The sequence below is a fragment of the Homo sapiens genome, chromosome 8 (assembly GCF_000001405.40).
Source record: "Homo sapiens chromosome 8, GRCh38.p14 Primary Assembly".
In the NCBI taxonomy this organism is placed as follows: Eukaryota; Metazoa; Chordata; class Mammalia; order Primates; family Hominidae; genus Homo; species Homo sapiens.
In genome coordinates, this window is record NC_000008.11 from 73,242,563 (window position 1) to 73,260,911 (window position 18,349).

Consider the following 18,349-nt stretch of genomic DNA (forward strand, 5'->3'; position numbering starts at 1 on the left):
AACATCACTGATTATCAGAGGCATCAAAACTACAATGAGATATCATTTCACCCCAATTAAAATGGCTTTTATCTAAAAGACAGTAAATAACACATGCTGGCAAGGATGCAGAGAAAAAAGGGAACCCTCATTCACTGTTAGTGGGAATGTAAATTAGTACAACCACTGTGGAGAACAGTTTGGAGGTTTCTCAGAAAACCAAAAATGGAGCTACCATATGGTCCAGGAATCCCATTGCTAGACATATACCCAAAAGAAGGGAAATCGGTATATCAAAGAGGTATCTGCACTCCTGTGTTTACTGCAGCACTGTTCACAATGGCCAAGATTTGGAAGTAACTGAAGTGTCCATCAACAGATGAATGGATGAAGAAAATGTGGTACATATACACAATGGAGTACTATTCAGCCATAAAAAAATGAGATCCTGTCATTTGCAACATTATGGTTGGAACTGGAGATCATTATGTTAGGTTAAATAAGCCAGGTACAGAAAGACAAATTTCACATATTCTCAGTTATTTGTGGGTGCTAAAAACTAGAACAATTGAACTCATGGAGATAGAGACTAGAAGGATGGTTACCAGAGGCTGGGAAGGATAGTGGAGGAGAGATGCGGGGGAAGTGGGGATGGTTTATAGGTACAAAAAATACAAAGAATGAATAAGAACACGTATTTGATAGCACAACAGGGCAATTATAGTCAATAATGATCTAATCGTATATTTAAAAATAACTTTAAGAGTATAATTTGATTGTTTGTAACATAAAGGATAAATGCCTGAGGGGATGGATACTCCATTCACGTGAATGTGATTATTACACGTTGTACGCCTGTATCAAAATATCTCATATACCTCATAAATAAATACACCTACTATGTACCCAGAAAATTAAAAAAACACGACTAGTTTTTGATATAACACATATTTTGAATTAAAAATGCCATGTTTACTTTCTTTTTCTTTTCTTTTTTTTGAGATGGAGGATGGAATCTTGCTCTGTCACCCAGGCTGGAGTGCAGTGGTGCAATCTCGGCTCACTGCAACCTCCACTTCCCGGGTTCAAGTGATTCACATGCCTCAGCCTCCTGAGTAGCTGGGACTACAGGCGTGTGCCATCATGCCCAGCTAGTTTTTGTATTTTTAGTAGAGACGGGGTTTCACCATGTTGTCCAGGCAGATCTCAAACTCCTGGCTTCAAGTCACCTGCCCACCTCAGCCTCCCAAAGTGCTGGGATTACAGGCATGAGCCACCGCACTCAGTTTTAATGCTACTTTATAAAATGACTATGTGCCTCAAAAAATATTTATCTAAAAAACCTTTAATGCTTGTATTTAATTATATAAAATTACATTGGTGCAAAAGTAATTGCAGTTCTAAAAACCGCAATTACTTTTGCACCAACTTAATCTGATTTTGTACAATACTTTTTAAAACATGGGACAACTGTGAGATTTATTTCAAAGTAAAAGGCATAATCTCCATAAATAATTAACTCATTTCATATTTTACATGCCTATCAAGTTATTTTCTTCAAATAAAAACATTTCTCATAAATGCTAAGTGAAGTAAAATTGTAAAGTAAAATAAAATCGTTCACTTAACTGAAATAGCGTTAATCAAACTTCTATCATAGGGTGGTAGTAATAACAACAGATAGCATTTGTTGAATGATCTTTGTCAAGTACTTTACATCTATTTTATCCATACAACAACACTATGAAATAGTCATCTGTACTATCTCGAGTTACAGATTTTAAAAAGACAATTTAGGGATGCTAAATAACTTGCCTGAGTGCATATACTTAGTAACTATCAGAGTTAGGATTTGAATCCAGATTCATCAAAGTTCCAATCACTACGTATTACCCCTAAATACATGTAGAAATATTTTAGGGTATAAACCTCTCTATATACAATATACAAATATGTAGAAATATTTCTATTTAAAAACATATATGCAGCCTTGAAAATACTGACCTATATTGCTTTAAAATATTATTATTTAACTTCAGTTTCAAGTGTCAAAAAAAAGCACTATCTTCAATTCTCCAGTGTAGTTGTTATTTTTCTGTTTGTTTTGTTTTGTTTGCAGGGGTAATATGAGTGAGAAGTTCAGAGAGAAACAGGTGAGAGTTAAGAATATGATCAGGACTTCTGTTCTTAGCAGTACAATGGACTTGACACTTTAAAAGACCCTCTGGCAGCAAAATAACTAGATTCCAGGCATTAGGCAAACCTGAAAAAACTTCAAAGAATCGGTATCATACACACAAATGCAATTAAGTTGGAAGTTGTTAATAATAAGATAAATTTAAAATTCTGAAATATTTAGAAATTTGTACACATGTATTAGTCCATTTTTATGCTGCTGATAAGGACATAACTGAAACTGGGTAATTTTTAAAGAAAAAGAGGTTTAATGGACTCACAGTTCCACATGGCTGGGGAGGCCTCACAATCACACCAGAAGGCAAAAGCCATGTCTTACATGGAGGCAGATAAGAGAGAATGAGAACCAAGCAAAAGGGGTTTCCTCTTATAAAACCATCAGATCTCGTGAGACTTACTCACTACCATGAGAATGGTATGGGGCAACCGCCCCCATGATTCAATCATCTCCCACTGAGTCCATCCCACAACACATGGGAACTATGGGAACTACAATTCAAGATGAGATTTCAATGGGGACACAGTCAAACCATATAAACACATTTTCTAAATTATCAGTCAAAAAACAAATCATAATAAACATACAAATATTTGTTGCTAAATGATAAATATCACAAAAGTTGTGTAATGGAGCAAAAGTTGTATATAGAGAGGTTTATACCCTAAAATGTCTATGTTAGAAAAGAAGGTTGAAAATTTAAAACATAGGTATTAGATACACAGTAGGAAAAGAGTAAACCCAAAGAACATGGAGGAAAAAGATAATATAGGAAAGGGGAGAAATCAATGAAGTAGAAAACCAAGTTACAATAAAAGGGATTTTTTAAAAAGACAAAAGCTCTTCATTGAAAAAACTAATAAAAAAGGAAAGCCTCTGGTGACATTACTCAAGAAAATAAAAGAAGGCACAAATATATAATATTGGGAAAAGAGGAACAGAATTACAGATAAAGCAAAGACTAAACTTTATGCTAATAAATTTTTAAAACTTAGACAAAATGCAAGTTTCTAGAAAATATAACTTACCAAAACTGATTGAAAAATTAGAATACCTTAAGAGCCCTAAATTCAAAATGATTGAGCCAATATTAAAAGATTCTCCCAAAGAAAACAAGTAACCCAAATGAATTTTATAAATGAATTTCCTCAAACTTTCGAGAGAAAAATCATTCCAATTTTAGGTCGTATCCTTCAGAGAACAGAAAGAGAAAGAATAGTCCCCAATTCATTCCACAAGGCCATTATAATGTGGACACTGAATCCAGACAAGGACAGAACAAAAAAGAAAATTCATGGCAATCTCACTACACTTACCAGCATAGGTAAAAAATGCCAAATGAGATATTAGCAAATTAAATGTGGCAGAATATAAACAAATAATAAATCATTTCTAAATTGGGTGTATTTCAGGAATGCAAGAGTGACTTAACATTACAAAATCTGTAAATGTTATTCTTCACATCAAAATAAGTAATAATAAGTATTTACAGAAGACTTACTTTGTTGCAGAAACTAGTGTAGGCACTGTAGGGATATGAAGGTGAGTGAATAAGACACAGAAGTCATAATGTTAGAAAAGAGGCTGGCAAATGTTCATTTGGGCCGAGATTCAAAGCAATGTCTTTTGGGTTTTTTGTTTGTTTGTTTGTTTGCTTGTTTGAGACAGAGTCTCGCTCTGTCGCCCAGGCTAGAGTGCAGTGGCACAATCTTGGCTCACTGCAACCTCCGCCTCCCAGGTTCAAGCAATTCTCCTGCCTCAGCTCCCTGAGTAGCTGAGATTACAGGCGCACACCACAATTCCCGGCTAATTTTTGTATTTTTAGTAGAGACGGAGTCTCATCATGTTGGCCAGGCTGGTCTCAAACTCCTGACCTCATGATCTGCTCACCTCGGCCTCCCAAAGCGTTAGGATTACAGGCGTGAGCCACCGCACCCAGCCAGCAATGTCTTTTGTTCTAATTAACATTTATATTTTTATTTTACACTGTCTGTTGATTACAGAAATTGTTTTAGTATATGAAATTAAGAGAGAGAAAACATCCAAGGAAAAGTTCATGAACATTTAAACTTATAAACTTCCATAGACTGAGCTTGCAGAGCTGCTAACAAGTCAATTCTGACAGCTACCAATAATGTCAATAGAAGCATTACTTAGTAATTTTAGTTTTGGTTGGTTGTTTGGAGGTGTTCAGTTAACTCCATTATTCCATAAGCCAAAGTCATGTAAGTATGAGTGTATTAGAGGAAGACAAGTATGATTATGATAAAAATTTAAAATAAGGTTTTAAAAATCTTTAACTTTCTTTTTAACTTTTATTTTAAGTTCAGGGGTACATGTGTAGGTTTGTTACATAGGTAAACTTGTGTCACAGGGATTTGTTGTATAGATTATTTCTTCACCTGAGTACTAAGCCTAGTACCCATTAGTTATTTTTCCTGATCCTTTCCCACCTCCCACCCTCCACACCCTCCTGCATTAGTTTGCTAAGGATAATGGCCTCCAGCTCCATCCATGTTCCTGCAAAGGACATGATCTGTTCTTTTTTATGGCTGCATAGTATTCCATGGTATATGTGTACCACATTTTCCTTATCCAGTCTACCATTGATGGGCATTTAGGTTGAGTCCATGTCTTTGCTATTGTGAATAGTGCTGCAGTGAACATATGCATGGATGTGTCTTTATTACAGAAGGATTTATAGTCCTTTGGGTACATACCCAGTAATGGGATTTCTGGGTCAAATGGCATTTCTGTTTTTAGGTCTTTGAGGAATCACCACACTGTTTCCTACAATGATTGAACTAATTTACATTCCCACCAATAGTGTATAAGTGTTCCTTTTTCTTTGTAACCTCTCCAGCATCTGTTATTTTTTTACTTTTTGATAGTAGCCATTCTGACTCATGTGAGATGGTATCTCATTGAGGTTTTGATTTGCATTTCTCTAATGATAAGTGATGTTGAGCTTTTTTTTCATATGCTTGTTTGGCTGCATGTATGTCTTCTTTTGAAAAGTGTCTGTTCATGTCCTTTGTCCACTTTTTAATGAGGTTATTTTTTTCTTGTAAATTGTTTAAATTCCTTATAGATGCTGGATATTAGACCTTTGTCAGATGCAGAGTTTGCAAAATTTTTCTTCCATTCTGTAGGTTGTCTGTTTACTCTGTTGATAGTTTATTTTGCTATGCAGAAGCACTTTCGTTTAATTAGATCCCATTTGTCAATTTTTGCTTTTGCGGCATTGCTTTTGGCATCTTCATCATGAAATCTTTGCCTGTTCCTATGTCTAGAATGGTATTGCCTAGGTTGTCTTCCAATGTTTTTATAGTTTTGGGTTTTACATTTAAGTCTTTAATCTATCTTGAGTTGATTTTTGTATATGGTGTAAGAAAGGGGTCCAGTTTTAATCTTCTGCATATGGCTAGCCAGTTAGCCCAGCATCATTTATTGAATAGGGAGAACTTTCCCCATTGCTTGTTTTTGTCAGCTTTGTTGAAAATCAGATAGTTGTAGGTGTGTGGCCTTATTTCTGATCTCTCTATTGTGTTCCATTGATCTATGTGTCTGTTTTTGTACCAGTACCATGCTGTTTTGGTTACCATAGCCCTGTACCACGGTTTGAAGTCAGGTTGTGTGATACCTCCAGCTTTGTTCTTTTTGCTTAGGATTGCCTTGGCTATTTTGGCTCTTTTTTGGTTCCATATGAATTTTAAAATAGTTTTTTCTAGTTCTATGAAGAATGTCATTGGTAGTTTAATAGGAATCACATTGAATCTATAAATTGCTTTGGGTAGTATAGTTATTTTAACTATATTGAGTCTTCCTATCCATGAACATGGAATGTTTTTCTACTTGTTTGTGTCATCTCTGATTTATTTGAGCAGTGTTTTGTAGTTCTCCTTGCAGAGATCTTTCACCTCCCTGGTTAGCTGTATTCCTAGGTATATTATTCTTTTTGTGCCAATTGTAAATGGGATTGTGTTCCTGATTTGGCTCTTGGCTTGACTGTTGTTGGTGTATAGGAATGCTATCAATTTTTGCACGTTGATTTTGTATCTTGAAATTTTGCTGAAGTTGTTTATCAGCTTAAGGAGCTTTTGGGCCAAGACTATGGGGTTTTCTGGATATAGGATCATGTCATCTACAAACAGTGATAGGTTCACTTTCTCTCTTCCTATTGGAATGCACTTTATTTCTCTCTCTTGCCTGATTGCTCTGGTCAGAACTTCCAATACTGTGTTGAATAAGGGTGGTGAGTGTCTTGTGCTGGTTTTCAGGTTTTTAAGCTTTTGCCCATTCAATATGATGTTGGCTGTGGGTTTGTCATAGATGGCTTTTATTATTTTATGGTATGTCCTTCAATACCTAGTTTGTTGAGAGTTTTTAATAGGAAAGGTGTTGAATTTTATCAAAAGTCTTTTCTGCATCTGTTGAGATAATCATGTGGTTTTTGTCTTTAGCTCTGTTTATGTAATGAATTGCCTTATTGATTTGGGTATGTTGAACCAACCTTGCACTGCAGGGATAAAGCCTACTTAATTGTGGTGGATTAGCTTTTTGGTATACTGCTGGATTCAGCTTGCCAGTATTTTGTTGAGGATTTTTACATCAATGTTCATCAGGGATATTGACCTGTGGTTTTCTTTTTTTGTTGTATCTCTGCATATTTCGGTATCAGGATGATGCTTGTCTCATAGAATGAGTTACAGAGGAATACCTCATCCTCAAATTTTTAGATAGTTTCAGTGTGAATGGTACCAGCTCTTTTTGTACATCTGGTAGAATTCAGCTGTGAATCTGTCTAGTCCTGGGCTTTTCTTTGATGGTAGGCTATTTGTACTGATTCAATAAAAAAACTTAAGCTTTTAATGAAATAATTGTTGCACATAGGAAAGGATGAATCATTTGATAGACTGAAGGACAAATGGCAAATAAAATATACCTTAGTACCATAAACCCTTTTAGTCACCATGAACTTAGGAGTAACTTGACTTAAAAGTAGTTTTTTGGGACCAAAACTATTGGTATATAGATAAGTTTCTGTATTAGATGTCATAAGTACACAGGATTCACAAAAATAGCAATTAGAAGATAAAGCTAGAAAGGAAAGCTGAGGGAAGATGGCAAGGGATTCAACATCAAGCTAAAGAGTTTATACTCAGTCTGTGGGTAACGAGGGAGTCATTCTGTTTGAAGAAGAGACTAATGTGATTAGAAGTCAAAGTTTTAGGCTTTTTTTGTGGTATTGAAGGATTTCAAAGATCAGACATTCAAAACAAGAAGACCAGTTTGCAGGCACTAAATGGCCCAAGTGAGATATGATGAGGGCCTACCCTTGAGTCCTGAAATTATAAAAGTATGTTTATAATGAACCCAACATCCACTTAGTTTATAAAATAAACAAAGCTTAAAAGAAGTAGTAACAAAACAAAGATAATTAATCAATGAAAAGAAAGGAATTTTTTTTAAAAAAAGATAAGGTATATGACACCCAAGAGAGGTAGTAGAAAAAAGGACGAGTCAGCTTACCTTTTGATTTCTCCCAAAGTGGTGCCACACTGCATGTCTCCTTAGTCTTCTTTAGCCTGAATATTATATATTATCATAAAATTACTTACATATAAATTCAGGGCACAATGAAACTCACTTGTTGAATAACATCACATAGACATTAAATAAATGTTAAGGAAAGGAAAGTCTTTCCATTATAACTCATTCCATCAGAAGCAGATATGAGCCAGCCCAACATCTTGCTAGCAAATTTTACCAGTGGCTGAGTGCTAGGTCTAACTTCTCCCACAGACCTTTATCATACCTCTCACTAGTCATGACTCAAGCAATGCTAAGTGGGAGGGAATCAAGATAAACAGGCCATTTGGATACGTTGAATACCAACTATCACTTTTTTTGTACACTTTTTACCTATCAATCACCTCAATCTGAATTTTGTCATAATTTTGTTCCCACTGAAATACATCTAGATAATAAGTAGATTATTAGGGGAAATATATCATGATTGAATCTGCTGTGGGTGAGATAATCCATTATAAAATCCCAAATTTCTTGTAACAATATTTTTTTTTGAGACAAGGTCTCACTCGCTCCCAGGCTGGAGTGGCACAATCATATAGCTCACTGTAACTTTGAACTCCTAGGCTCAAGCAATTTTCCTGCGTCAGCTTCTTGAGTAGCTGGGATGGTAGCTGCATGTCACCACACAAGGCTAATTAAAAAAAAAAAGTTTGTAAAGACGGGGTCTCACTATGTTACCCAAGCTGGCCTCAAAATGCTGGCCTCAAGCAATCCTCCTGCCTCAGCCTCCCAAAATGGGTTTCCAAGCATGAGCCACTGAGCCCAGCCTCTTGAAACCATTTTACACTTTAAAAGTCAGCAGTGACTTTTAAGTACTCCACCTCTAGGATTACTATTATTATTTATATTACTAGAGTGTGCTTTGAGAGTCACTAAAATATTTTGCTTACCAATAAGGAAATTTGAAAAAATACTACACTTTCAATCAAATATTCACACAAGGAGGGAAAAAAGAGAGTAAGGGGTTGTACATAAAACGAACAAAAATGAGTACTTCTCTGCTTTGCCAAAACCGCTCCTTCACAGGCCGCTGTGCAATGTGCACAGGAGAATAAAATACTTGCAGGCAATTTGACATGTTCTCACTACAACAGCTAAAATGAAGACACTTGAGTTAAAGGCAGGGAAAAGAACTAACACTTATGTTTGCCAAGCACTTCATATACATTATGTCACTTAGCCATTACTATTCCACTTTATATATGAAGAACACTTGTCATAACATGAATAAAATATAGTCAATTATCCTTCATTGACCTAAGTAAATTCACACTCAAATCAATGTAAAATGTTTAGAAATAATTTCACAGTCAAATCACAAATGAAAAACAGAAACAAACAAACAAAAACCTGAATAGGGTGGAAATAATGAGAAGCAAAATAAAGACCCCAAATTAAGAGTCAGAAAGGGCTAATTCATGGGTATTTTCCAGGCTTCCAGTATCTTTGAGATGATCACGTGTATCGAAGGAAGGGTAACAAGACGGGTCCATACCGATGCAAAGTACAAAGTCCATCGGCACAGGCAGCCCTGCACACTCCTACCTCCTCCCCAAAGGGCACTGTGACCCTTGATGAAAATGACATAAGTTGACAGTCAGGGACACAAGTGTCTTGGTTACGATGTAACTGACTGTCCTTAGTAGCTTTATAGTCATGTTTCAAACGGTCCCTCTTTTTTCTGCATCCCCGCCATTTTCCACTTTGACTTAAGTTACCATCTGGTAGCAACTCTCTCTCTCTTCCATTTCTAATTCTGCCTTATTTTATTCTAACCTTACTTCAGAAAGAACAGTTTTGCGTTTTATATTTTTATAGCTTGAAAATCTTTCTTCAGATAATATTAAAAATGATGACAAAAGCTATATGTATGATATTGTTTATTGTGGTGTTACTTACAAAACCAAAACAATCAAAGCATTTTCAAAATCCAACTATAGGAAGTGATGAAGTAAACTGTGGATCCGTCAGTGAAATATAATGTGGTTGGTAAGACTGTTTAAAGAACATATAGTGGCATGACAAAATGCATATATATAAAGTTTTTAAAAAGGCAGGATAAAAATTTTAAGTACACTAAAATCACAACGAAAATGATATCCATGAAAAAGAATTTTTTCTTTCTTTTGAAAGAAGGGAATATCCAAACAATAAAAATGGATATGTTATGATGGGTAGATTATCAAATAATTATTTTCCTTTTTTTCTGCAAAGTTCTTATTCTTATTTTCATAATTTAAATAAAAATTATCAACTTTTCATTTTAACCTGTTCCAGCTCTCTATTTATATTACCAGAATTTATTTCAAGAGTACTTAAAAAGAACAATTGTATTAGCTGGAAAACTCAAGAAACATATTTTGAAACGTCAACCTTGTGTGCTAGGCATAACTGGATGACTTTAAAGTTCATTATAATAGGAAGATAATATAAAAATATAAATCCTCCCCTAAAGGGAGGTGCAACTCAGAATGCTATAAGTGCTTCACTTTTTTTAATACTACCAGAGTGAATAAGAACTAGACATTCGGCCGGGCACGGTGGCTCACGCCTGTAATCCCAGCACTTTGGGAGGCCGAGGTGGGTGGATCACGAGGTCAGAAGATCGACACCATCCTGGCTAACAGGGTGAAACCCCGTCTCTACTAAAAAAATACAAAAAGTTAGCCGGGCGTGGTGGCGGGCGCCTGTAGTCCCAGCTACTCCAGAGGCTGAGGCGGGAGAATTGCTTGAACCCGGGAGGCGGAGCTCCCAGCGAGCCAAGATCGCGCCACTGCACTCCAGCCTGGGCGACAGAGCTAGACTCCGTCTCAAAAAAAAGAAAAAGGAACTAGACATTCAACAAATATCTGAAGAACAAATAAACAAACCAAAGCAGAAGCTGAGTAGAATGTGAGACTATCTTACTAACTTAGAGATCCCTCTGGAGAGTTTTCTTTTAATGGTATGTCAGTCAGTCTGATTTCTAGAAGGAAAAGTATTTGTAATAATGTTTTCGGTTACTGTAGCCTTGTAGTATAGTTTGAAGTCAGGTAGCGTGATGCCTCCAGCTTTATTCTTTTGGCTTAGGATTGACTTGGCGATGCGGGCTCTTTTTTGGTTCCATATGAACTTTAAAGTAGTTTTTTCCAATTCTGTGAAGAAAGTCATTGGTAGCTTGATGGGGATGGCATTGAATCTATAAATTACCTTGGGCAGTATGGCCATTTTCACGATATTGATTCTTCCTACCCATGAGCATGGAATGTTCTTCCATTTGTTTGTATCCTCTTTTATTTCCTTGAGCAGTGGTTTGTAGTTCTCCTTGAAGAGGTCCTTCACGTCCCTTATAAGTTGGATTCCTAGGTATTTTATTCTCTTTGAAGCAAATGTGAATGGGAGTTCATTCATGATTTGGCTCTCTGTCTGTTATTGGTGTATAAGAATGCTTGTGATTTTTGTACATTGATTTTGTATCCTGAGACTTTGCTGAAGTTGCTTATCAGCTTAAGGAGATTTTGGGCTGAGATGAGGGGGTTTTCTAGATATACAATCATGTCATCTGCAAACAGGGACAATTTGACTTCCTCTTTTCCTAATTGAATACCCTTTATTTCCTTCTCCTGCCTAATTGCCCTGGCCAGAACTTCCAACACTATGTTGAATAGGAGTGGTGAGAGAGGGCATCCCTGTCTTGGGCCAGTTTTCAAAGGGAATGCTTCCAGTTTTTGCCCATTCACTATGATATTGGCTGTGGGTTTGTCATAGATAGCTCTTACTATTTTGAGATACGTCCCATCAATACCTAATTTATTGAGAGTTTTTAGCATGAAGAGTTGTTGAATTTTGTCAAAGGCCGTTTCTGCATCTATTGAGATAATCATGTGGTTTTTGTCTTTGGTTCTGTTTATATGCTGGATTACATTTATTGATTTGCATATATTGAACCAGCCTTGCATCCCAGGGATGAAGCCCACTTGATCATGGTGGATAAGCTTTTTGATGTGCTGCTGGATTCGTTTTGCCAGTATTTTATTGAGGATTTTTGCATCAATGTTCATCAAGGATATTGGTCTAAAATTCTCTTTTTTGGTTGTGTCTCTGCCCAGCTTTGGTATCAGGATGATGCTGGCCCAAACTGAAAACACCACCACTTTTATTCTGTAAAAAAGGCATTCAGGGAATGAGGCCTCCTCTATTCCCAGGAGGTCACAGGAACTGGGAGTGGCAAGAAGGAAGCTGCTAAACGGGATCCAGATGCAGCTTTATCCAGGGGACGCCTCATGCCTGGTCATTTGGGTGGCTGGGCTTGTCCCACCTCCTCCCCTTCTTCACGCCCTCCTCCCGGTCTCATCCTAGGCCCTCCCACCCCTAGGCCAGCCACAGACCTCGCAGCAGACATCTGTGGGTCTGAGTTTCATATATCCAGCATGAAGCATGGTACTGGTACCAAAACAGAGATACAGACCAATGGAACAGAACAGAGCCCTCAGAAATAACGCCACATATCTACAACTATCTGATCTTTGACAAACCTGAGAAAAATAAGCAATGGGGAAAGGATTCCCTATTTAATAAATGGTGCTGGGAAAACTGGCTAGCCATATGTAGAAAGCTGAAACTGGATCCCTTCCTTACACCTTATGCAAAAATTAATTCAAGATGGATTAAAGACTTAAATGTTAGACCTAAAACCATAAAAACCCTAGAAGAAAACCTAGGCAATACCATTCAGGACATAGGCATGGGCAAGGACTTCATGACTAAAACACCAAAAGCAATGGCAACAAAAGCCAAAATTGACAAATGGGATCTAATTAAACTAAAGAGCTTCTGCACAGCAAAAGAAACTACCATCAGAGTGAACAGGCAACCTACAAAATGGGAGAAAATTTTTGCAACCTACTCGTCTGAAAAAGGGCTAATATCCAGAATCTACAATTAACTCAAACAAATTTACAAGAAAAAAACAAACAACCCCATCAAAAAGTGGGCGAAGGACACAAACAGACACTTCTCAAAAGAAGACATTTATGCAGCCAAAAAACACATGAAAAAATGCTCACCATCACTGGCCATCAGAGAAATGCAAATCAAAACCACAATGAGATACCATCTCACACCAGTTAGAATGGCAATCATTAAAAAGTCAGGAAACAACAGGTGCTAGAGAGGATGTGGAGAAATCCCACTCCTTGGTGGGACTGTAAACTAGTTCAACCCTTGTGGAAGTCAGTGTGGCGATTCCTCAGGGATCTAGAACTAGAAATACCATTTGACCCAGCCATCCCATTACTGGGTATATACCCAAAGGACTATAAATCATGCTGCTATAAAGACACATGCACACGTATGTTTATTGCGGCACTATTCACAATAGCAAAGACTTGGAACCAACCCAAATGTCCAACAATGATAGACTGGATTAAGAAAATGTGGCACATATACACCATGGAATACTATGCAGCCATAAAAAATAATGAGTTCATGTCCTTTGTAGGGACATGGATGAAATTGGAAATCATCATTCTCAGTAAACTATCGCAAGGACAAAAAACCAAACACCGCATATTCTCACTCATAGGTGGGAATTGAACAATGAGAACACATGGACACAGGAAGGGGAACATCACAATCTGGGGACTGTTGTGGGGTGGGGGGAGGCGGGAGGGATAGCTTTAGGAGATATACCTAATGCTAAATGACGAGTTAATGGGTGCAGCGCACCAGCATGGCACATGTATACATATGTAGCTAACCTGCACATTGTGCACATGTACCCTAAAACTTAAAGTATAATAATAATAAAAAATAAATAACAAATAATAATAATAATAATAATAATAATAATGTTTTCAAATGTCAGTATTCAAGGTCAGGGAGACTTTTCTGGCTGAAAAATTCATTTCTGATAGTCAATGCAGGATGTTAATTAGGCCAACATCTCATTCAGAATCTTCCTTCACATTACTTCAGTCAGACCAGAAATGAAGCACAAGGTTCTATATAGAGGGTACAGAAACTTTTTAATATTGCAGAGAGTTAATTTTTTTTTCTAATGCTAAAAATTCCAATGCTCTCATGGGCATGATCTAGGCTAGGACAATCAAGGTTTTTTTTAAAATGCCCTTAAATCGGGGGTGGGTGCAGTGGCTCACGCCTGTAATCCCAGCACTTTGGGAGGCTGACTTGGGCAGATGACGAGGTCAAGAGATCAAGACCATCCTGGCCAACTTGGTGAAACTCCGTCTCTACTAAAAATACAAAAATTAGCTGGGCGTGGTGGCGGGCGCCTGTAATCCCAGCTACTCAGGAGGCTGAGGCAGGAGAATCGCTGGAATCCGGGAGGCGGAGGTTGCAGTGAGCCAAGATCACACCACTGTACTCCAGCCTGGCAAAACAGCGAGACTCTGTCTCAAAAAAAAAAAAAAAAAAAAAAAGCCCTTAAATCTTTTCTGGTAACATCACTCGAAAACAGAGAAAAGTGCCGAGTTGTCAAACTGAATAAAATAGCTTAGATTTTAAAAATTAAATCCTTTATGTAAAAAAAAAAAAAAAACAGGCAAAAATGAATGCAATTCACTGACCAGAAAAACCTCTACATTCAGCAGTATTACTACAAATACACATTCAACAAATGAGAATTAAATAGCAATGATCTACCTGACTGCAGACACCTCGGCATCAGCACGTGGCAGTCTTTTAGGAACCTCTAGTGGAGTTGAACTTACACTTTTTTGGCAACTTTGCAGTCCTGGTAAATATGGCATTTTGATACATTCCTTGAGCTCTTCTAGACCAAATGCTGTGGTATATTCTGGTTAAAAATATATAAGAATCATCTTGATTAAATGCATACTACTTGTTTTACTGCATCCTAAAACACATAATAAAATACACAAAATCAGCTATTAAGTAAAGAAAATTAAGCAACTGTAATTTAGCATCTTTCCCAAGAGAATGGCTTTCCTTCTACATCCTGACTATAGGGACTGCAGGAAGGAGTAGATTAAGGGGATGATTAAGAGTGGAATAAGGAAAAAGAACAGCTTCATGGATCTTCCACAGTCGTCACTATCCTCTGCTTTCATTATTTTATACAGTTAGAATTCCCAGAATATTAGATACCTTCACACTGAAATAAAAGGCACTTTCAAGAGTCTGATATTATCTAGCACTTAGAGTATTTCCATTTTCCTGCTTTTATGTAAATAAGAGGTGTAAACAGATGATCATCTTAGCTAGCAATGAGAGTCAAAGAATTATACTTGAGGCACTGATTTTGATTTTCTGTCCACAAAATTCCATACCAAATCTGTAAACCATCACCTTGAAGCATCAAGATTGTTTCTTCTACTAACCTCACATATCCATTGCACAGAGAGACGGTCAAATTATTTTTAAAAATTTTCAAGGCATTAAATGAAAAGAAAAAGGAGATTAAGAGGTTAAAGGTTTGGGTGTTCTTTGAACTAAACATAGAGAATTTTTTTGAAAGTATTCTCTACAAAGCAAGTGTAGCACAGCAACAAAAATGGTATTTAATGGGACTAAAATTATTATATTGAATGTTCAAAATGTTATTTTGTAACTTTTGATTTTTTCCTCTTTTGGAAAAAATAGTTTCTGTTGGTCAAAAAGCATATAGACTCTTTTTTCATCAATTAGATTTGGGGGGTAGAAGGGTGGATAAACTGCTGTCTGAGTACCTTTAATGGAAACCTGGTAAGAAAGTTGAAGAAAAAGTATAGCAACACATTCAAAGCCAAAGAGGGATAAATCATTGAGTAGTTTGCATTTTACTATTTTCAAGAATTATTGGCTGGGCGTGGTGGCTTACGCCTGTAATCCCAGCACTTTGGGAGTCCGAGGTGGGCAGATCACAAGGTCAGGAGATCGAGACCATCCTGGCCAACATGGTGAAATCCCATCTCTACTAAAAATAACAAAAATCTGCTGCGCATGGCAGTGCATGCCTGTCATCCCAGCTACTCAGCAGGCTGAGGCAGGTGAATCACTTGAACTTGGGAGGCAGAGGCTGCAGTGAGCCAACATCACACCACTGCACTCCAGCCTGGTGACAAAGCTAGACTCCATCTCAAAAAAAAAAAAAAAAAAAAAAGAATTATTTCTCCATCAATAAAGATGGAAGCAGAATTCAGAATAAACAAGAAATATAATTAACTTGAAAGTAAGGGGGAATAACTATTAATATACTCATCTACATGTCAAAAGTTATCAAACTAGTCTTCATTGAGCAGCTATGGGATTTAAGATACTCTCCACATAACTCAGTCAAAAATAAAGTTTTGGTTAGAATTTTTTTTTTTTTTTTTTGAGACAAGGTATCACTTTGTTGCCCAGACTGAAGTACAGTGGCATGGTCATGGCTCACTGCAGCCTCACCCTCTCCAGGCTCAGGTGATCCTTCTACCCTCAGCCTCCTGAGTAGCCGGGACCACAGGCGCACACCAACACGCTCAGCTAATTTTTGTGTTTTTTGTAGAGATGGGGTATCACCATGTTGCCCAGGCTGATCTCTAACTACTGGGCTCAAGCGATCCACCTGCCTTGGCCTCTCAAAGTGCTCAAATTACAGGCTAAGCCACTGTGCCTGGCTTTGGTTAGAATTATTAATACATAACAGCACTGTTAAAGATTTGGATGTCTTAAAATATAAAAATCACCTTGAGTTATTTAAAAGAAAATGCCATTTATAAAACGGAGTGTGATTCAACAGAGACAGTACTGCAATGGATATTAAGAAATGCAGTTCTTTCAGACAAATTTGAGTTTAAAAAAAAAGAAATACAGCTCTTTAAAATTTGTTTCCATCATGAGTCACAGAATTACATTAACTAAATTAATTTTAGTTTGCTTCCATTTTTCTTTTTCATCAATTTAAGATATAATTCTTACATAAATGTCACAGAAAATGTCCCTTGCCTGATGAAAAAAATACATGGAAATTCAAGGCACTATTTCTATGTTTTCTTAAGGAAAATAATAACAATAAAGTTACCTTTCTTAATCTTTTGTGTTTCTAAAACTGCTTTCTTCCAACTACTCTCAAAAATCAAACAACTGCCAAAGGAACTTCTGGTGAATTTAGAAGTCTCACATTTGATTTCAGGAGATAGCACTGACATTTTTTCTTCTTTCAACAGTGCTGATGAGAGGGAGATGCTGCTGCAGAGACAGGACACAAAATACAAAAAAAACAAGGCACGTCCGAGACAAGGCAAACAGATGTGTCATAATGTTTCTCTTTCAAACTTTGAACATTTTAATGAATTCTTTCAAATTCCAGGTTACAGATATTGGGTAATATTTTTAAAAGTAAAGTCCAATAGCAAGTTATCACCTACAAGACAATGGAATACTTGGATTCTCTCAAAAACATTATCATTATAAAATGCATTTGTGCCTAAAAAAAAAAAGACAAATTTTATGCTCCATGGAAAATAAACATGTTTTCTAGATAATCATCACTTTTATTTTAAACGTGGACACAGAAGGAAAATCAATCACTTACCCTGCTTACTTAATATATTAAACACATATTCAATTCAGTCATATACATTATCTATTACATGCAAGGCAAGACTACATCCAAAGAGTACAACCATGAGAAACCCTGAGGAGTCCCATGGGAATGGTGAGGAGTGACACCACCATGACCGCTACCATTTATGAAATGCCTATTTTTCCAGGATCCTTGCTGGGCATTTTGCATCCATTTTTTCCAGTGATCACAACAAAGAATTAGAGATAGCCAGATTCAGCTATGCTTATTCATTCATGCAAAATAAATTATTTACTGAGTGTCAATTTTATGCCAAGAATTACATAAAGCCTTAGAGAAACATGCTAAGCAAAACAGTCCCTGCCCTTGAGAAGCTTAGAATCTAGTAAAAGAAATACGGATGAGAAAATGGATAATACATTTCTCTGATCTCGGCAAACTATCGCAAGGACAAAAAAACCAAACACCACATGTTCTCACTCATAGGTGGGAATTGAACAATGAGAACACTTGGACACAGGAAGGGGAACATCACACCCTGGGGCCTGTCGTGGGGTGGGGGAGGGGGCAGGGATAGCATTAGGAGATATACCTAATGTAAATGACAAGTTAATGGGTGCAGCACACCAGCATGGCACATGTATACATATGTAACAAACCTGCACGTTGTGCACATGTACCCTAGAACTTAAAGTATAATAAAAAAAAGAAAGAAAGAAAACGGATAATACAGTTTTAGTAAGTGCTATGATGGGGGGCAAAAAATAAGGGTGCCGTGGGAGCACACAGCAGGGATTCCCACTGCAGCCTTGGGCATTAGGGAAGCATTTCTGGAGGAAGCCAGCAAAGCAAGGATGTGGGAGAGCAGAAGGAGGAGGATATGGCTCCCAGCAGAGGAAGAGCATTGTGATGGTTAATATTGAGTGTCAACTTGATTGGATTGAAGGACGCAAAGTACTTTTCCTGAGTGTGTCTGTGAGGGTGTTGTCAAAAGAGAGAAACATTTAAGTCAGTGGACTGGGAGAGGCAGATCCACCCTTAATCTGGGTGGACACGATCTAATCAGCTGCCAGTGT

General features: G+C 37.1%; 1 protein-coding gene and 1 long non-coding RNA gene across 6 annotated transcripts in view; one reads left to right on the forward strand and one right to left on the reverse strand.

The window, feature by feature from the left end:
* The window catches only part of LOC105375901 (uncharacterized), a 37,845-nt gene that overhangs the window by 18,152 nt on the left and 1,344 nt on the right, over positions 1-18,349 (forward strand). The gene's annotated exons all lie outside the window — the stretch shown is intronic.
* The window catches only part of C8orf89 (chromosome 8 open reading frame 89), a 44,602-nt gene that overhangs the window by 1,232 nt on the left and 25,021 nt on the right, over positions 1-18,349 (reverse strand). Inside the window, exons 2-4 of one of the 5 annotated variants that reach the window (NM_001391993.1) lie at positions 16,770-16,936; positions 14,411-14,564; positions 7,706-7,761 (exon numbers count right to left, since the gene is read on the reverse strand). In NM_001391993.1, the coding sequence (NP_001378922.1) occupies positions 7,706-7,761; positions 14,411-14,564; positions 16,770-16,896 (337 nt within the window). In that variant the 5' untranslated portion in view covers positions 16,897-16,936. Of the gene's footprint in view, positions 1-7,705; positions 7,762-14,410; positions 14,565-16,769; positions 16,969-18,349 lie in introns of those variants that run through there. The other 4 variants (NM_001391995.1, NM_001243237.3, XM_047421206.1 and 1 more) reach the window with 4 other exon arrangements.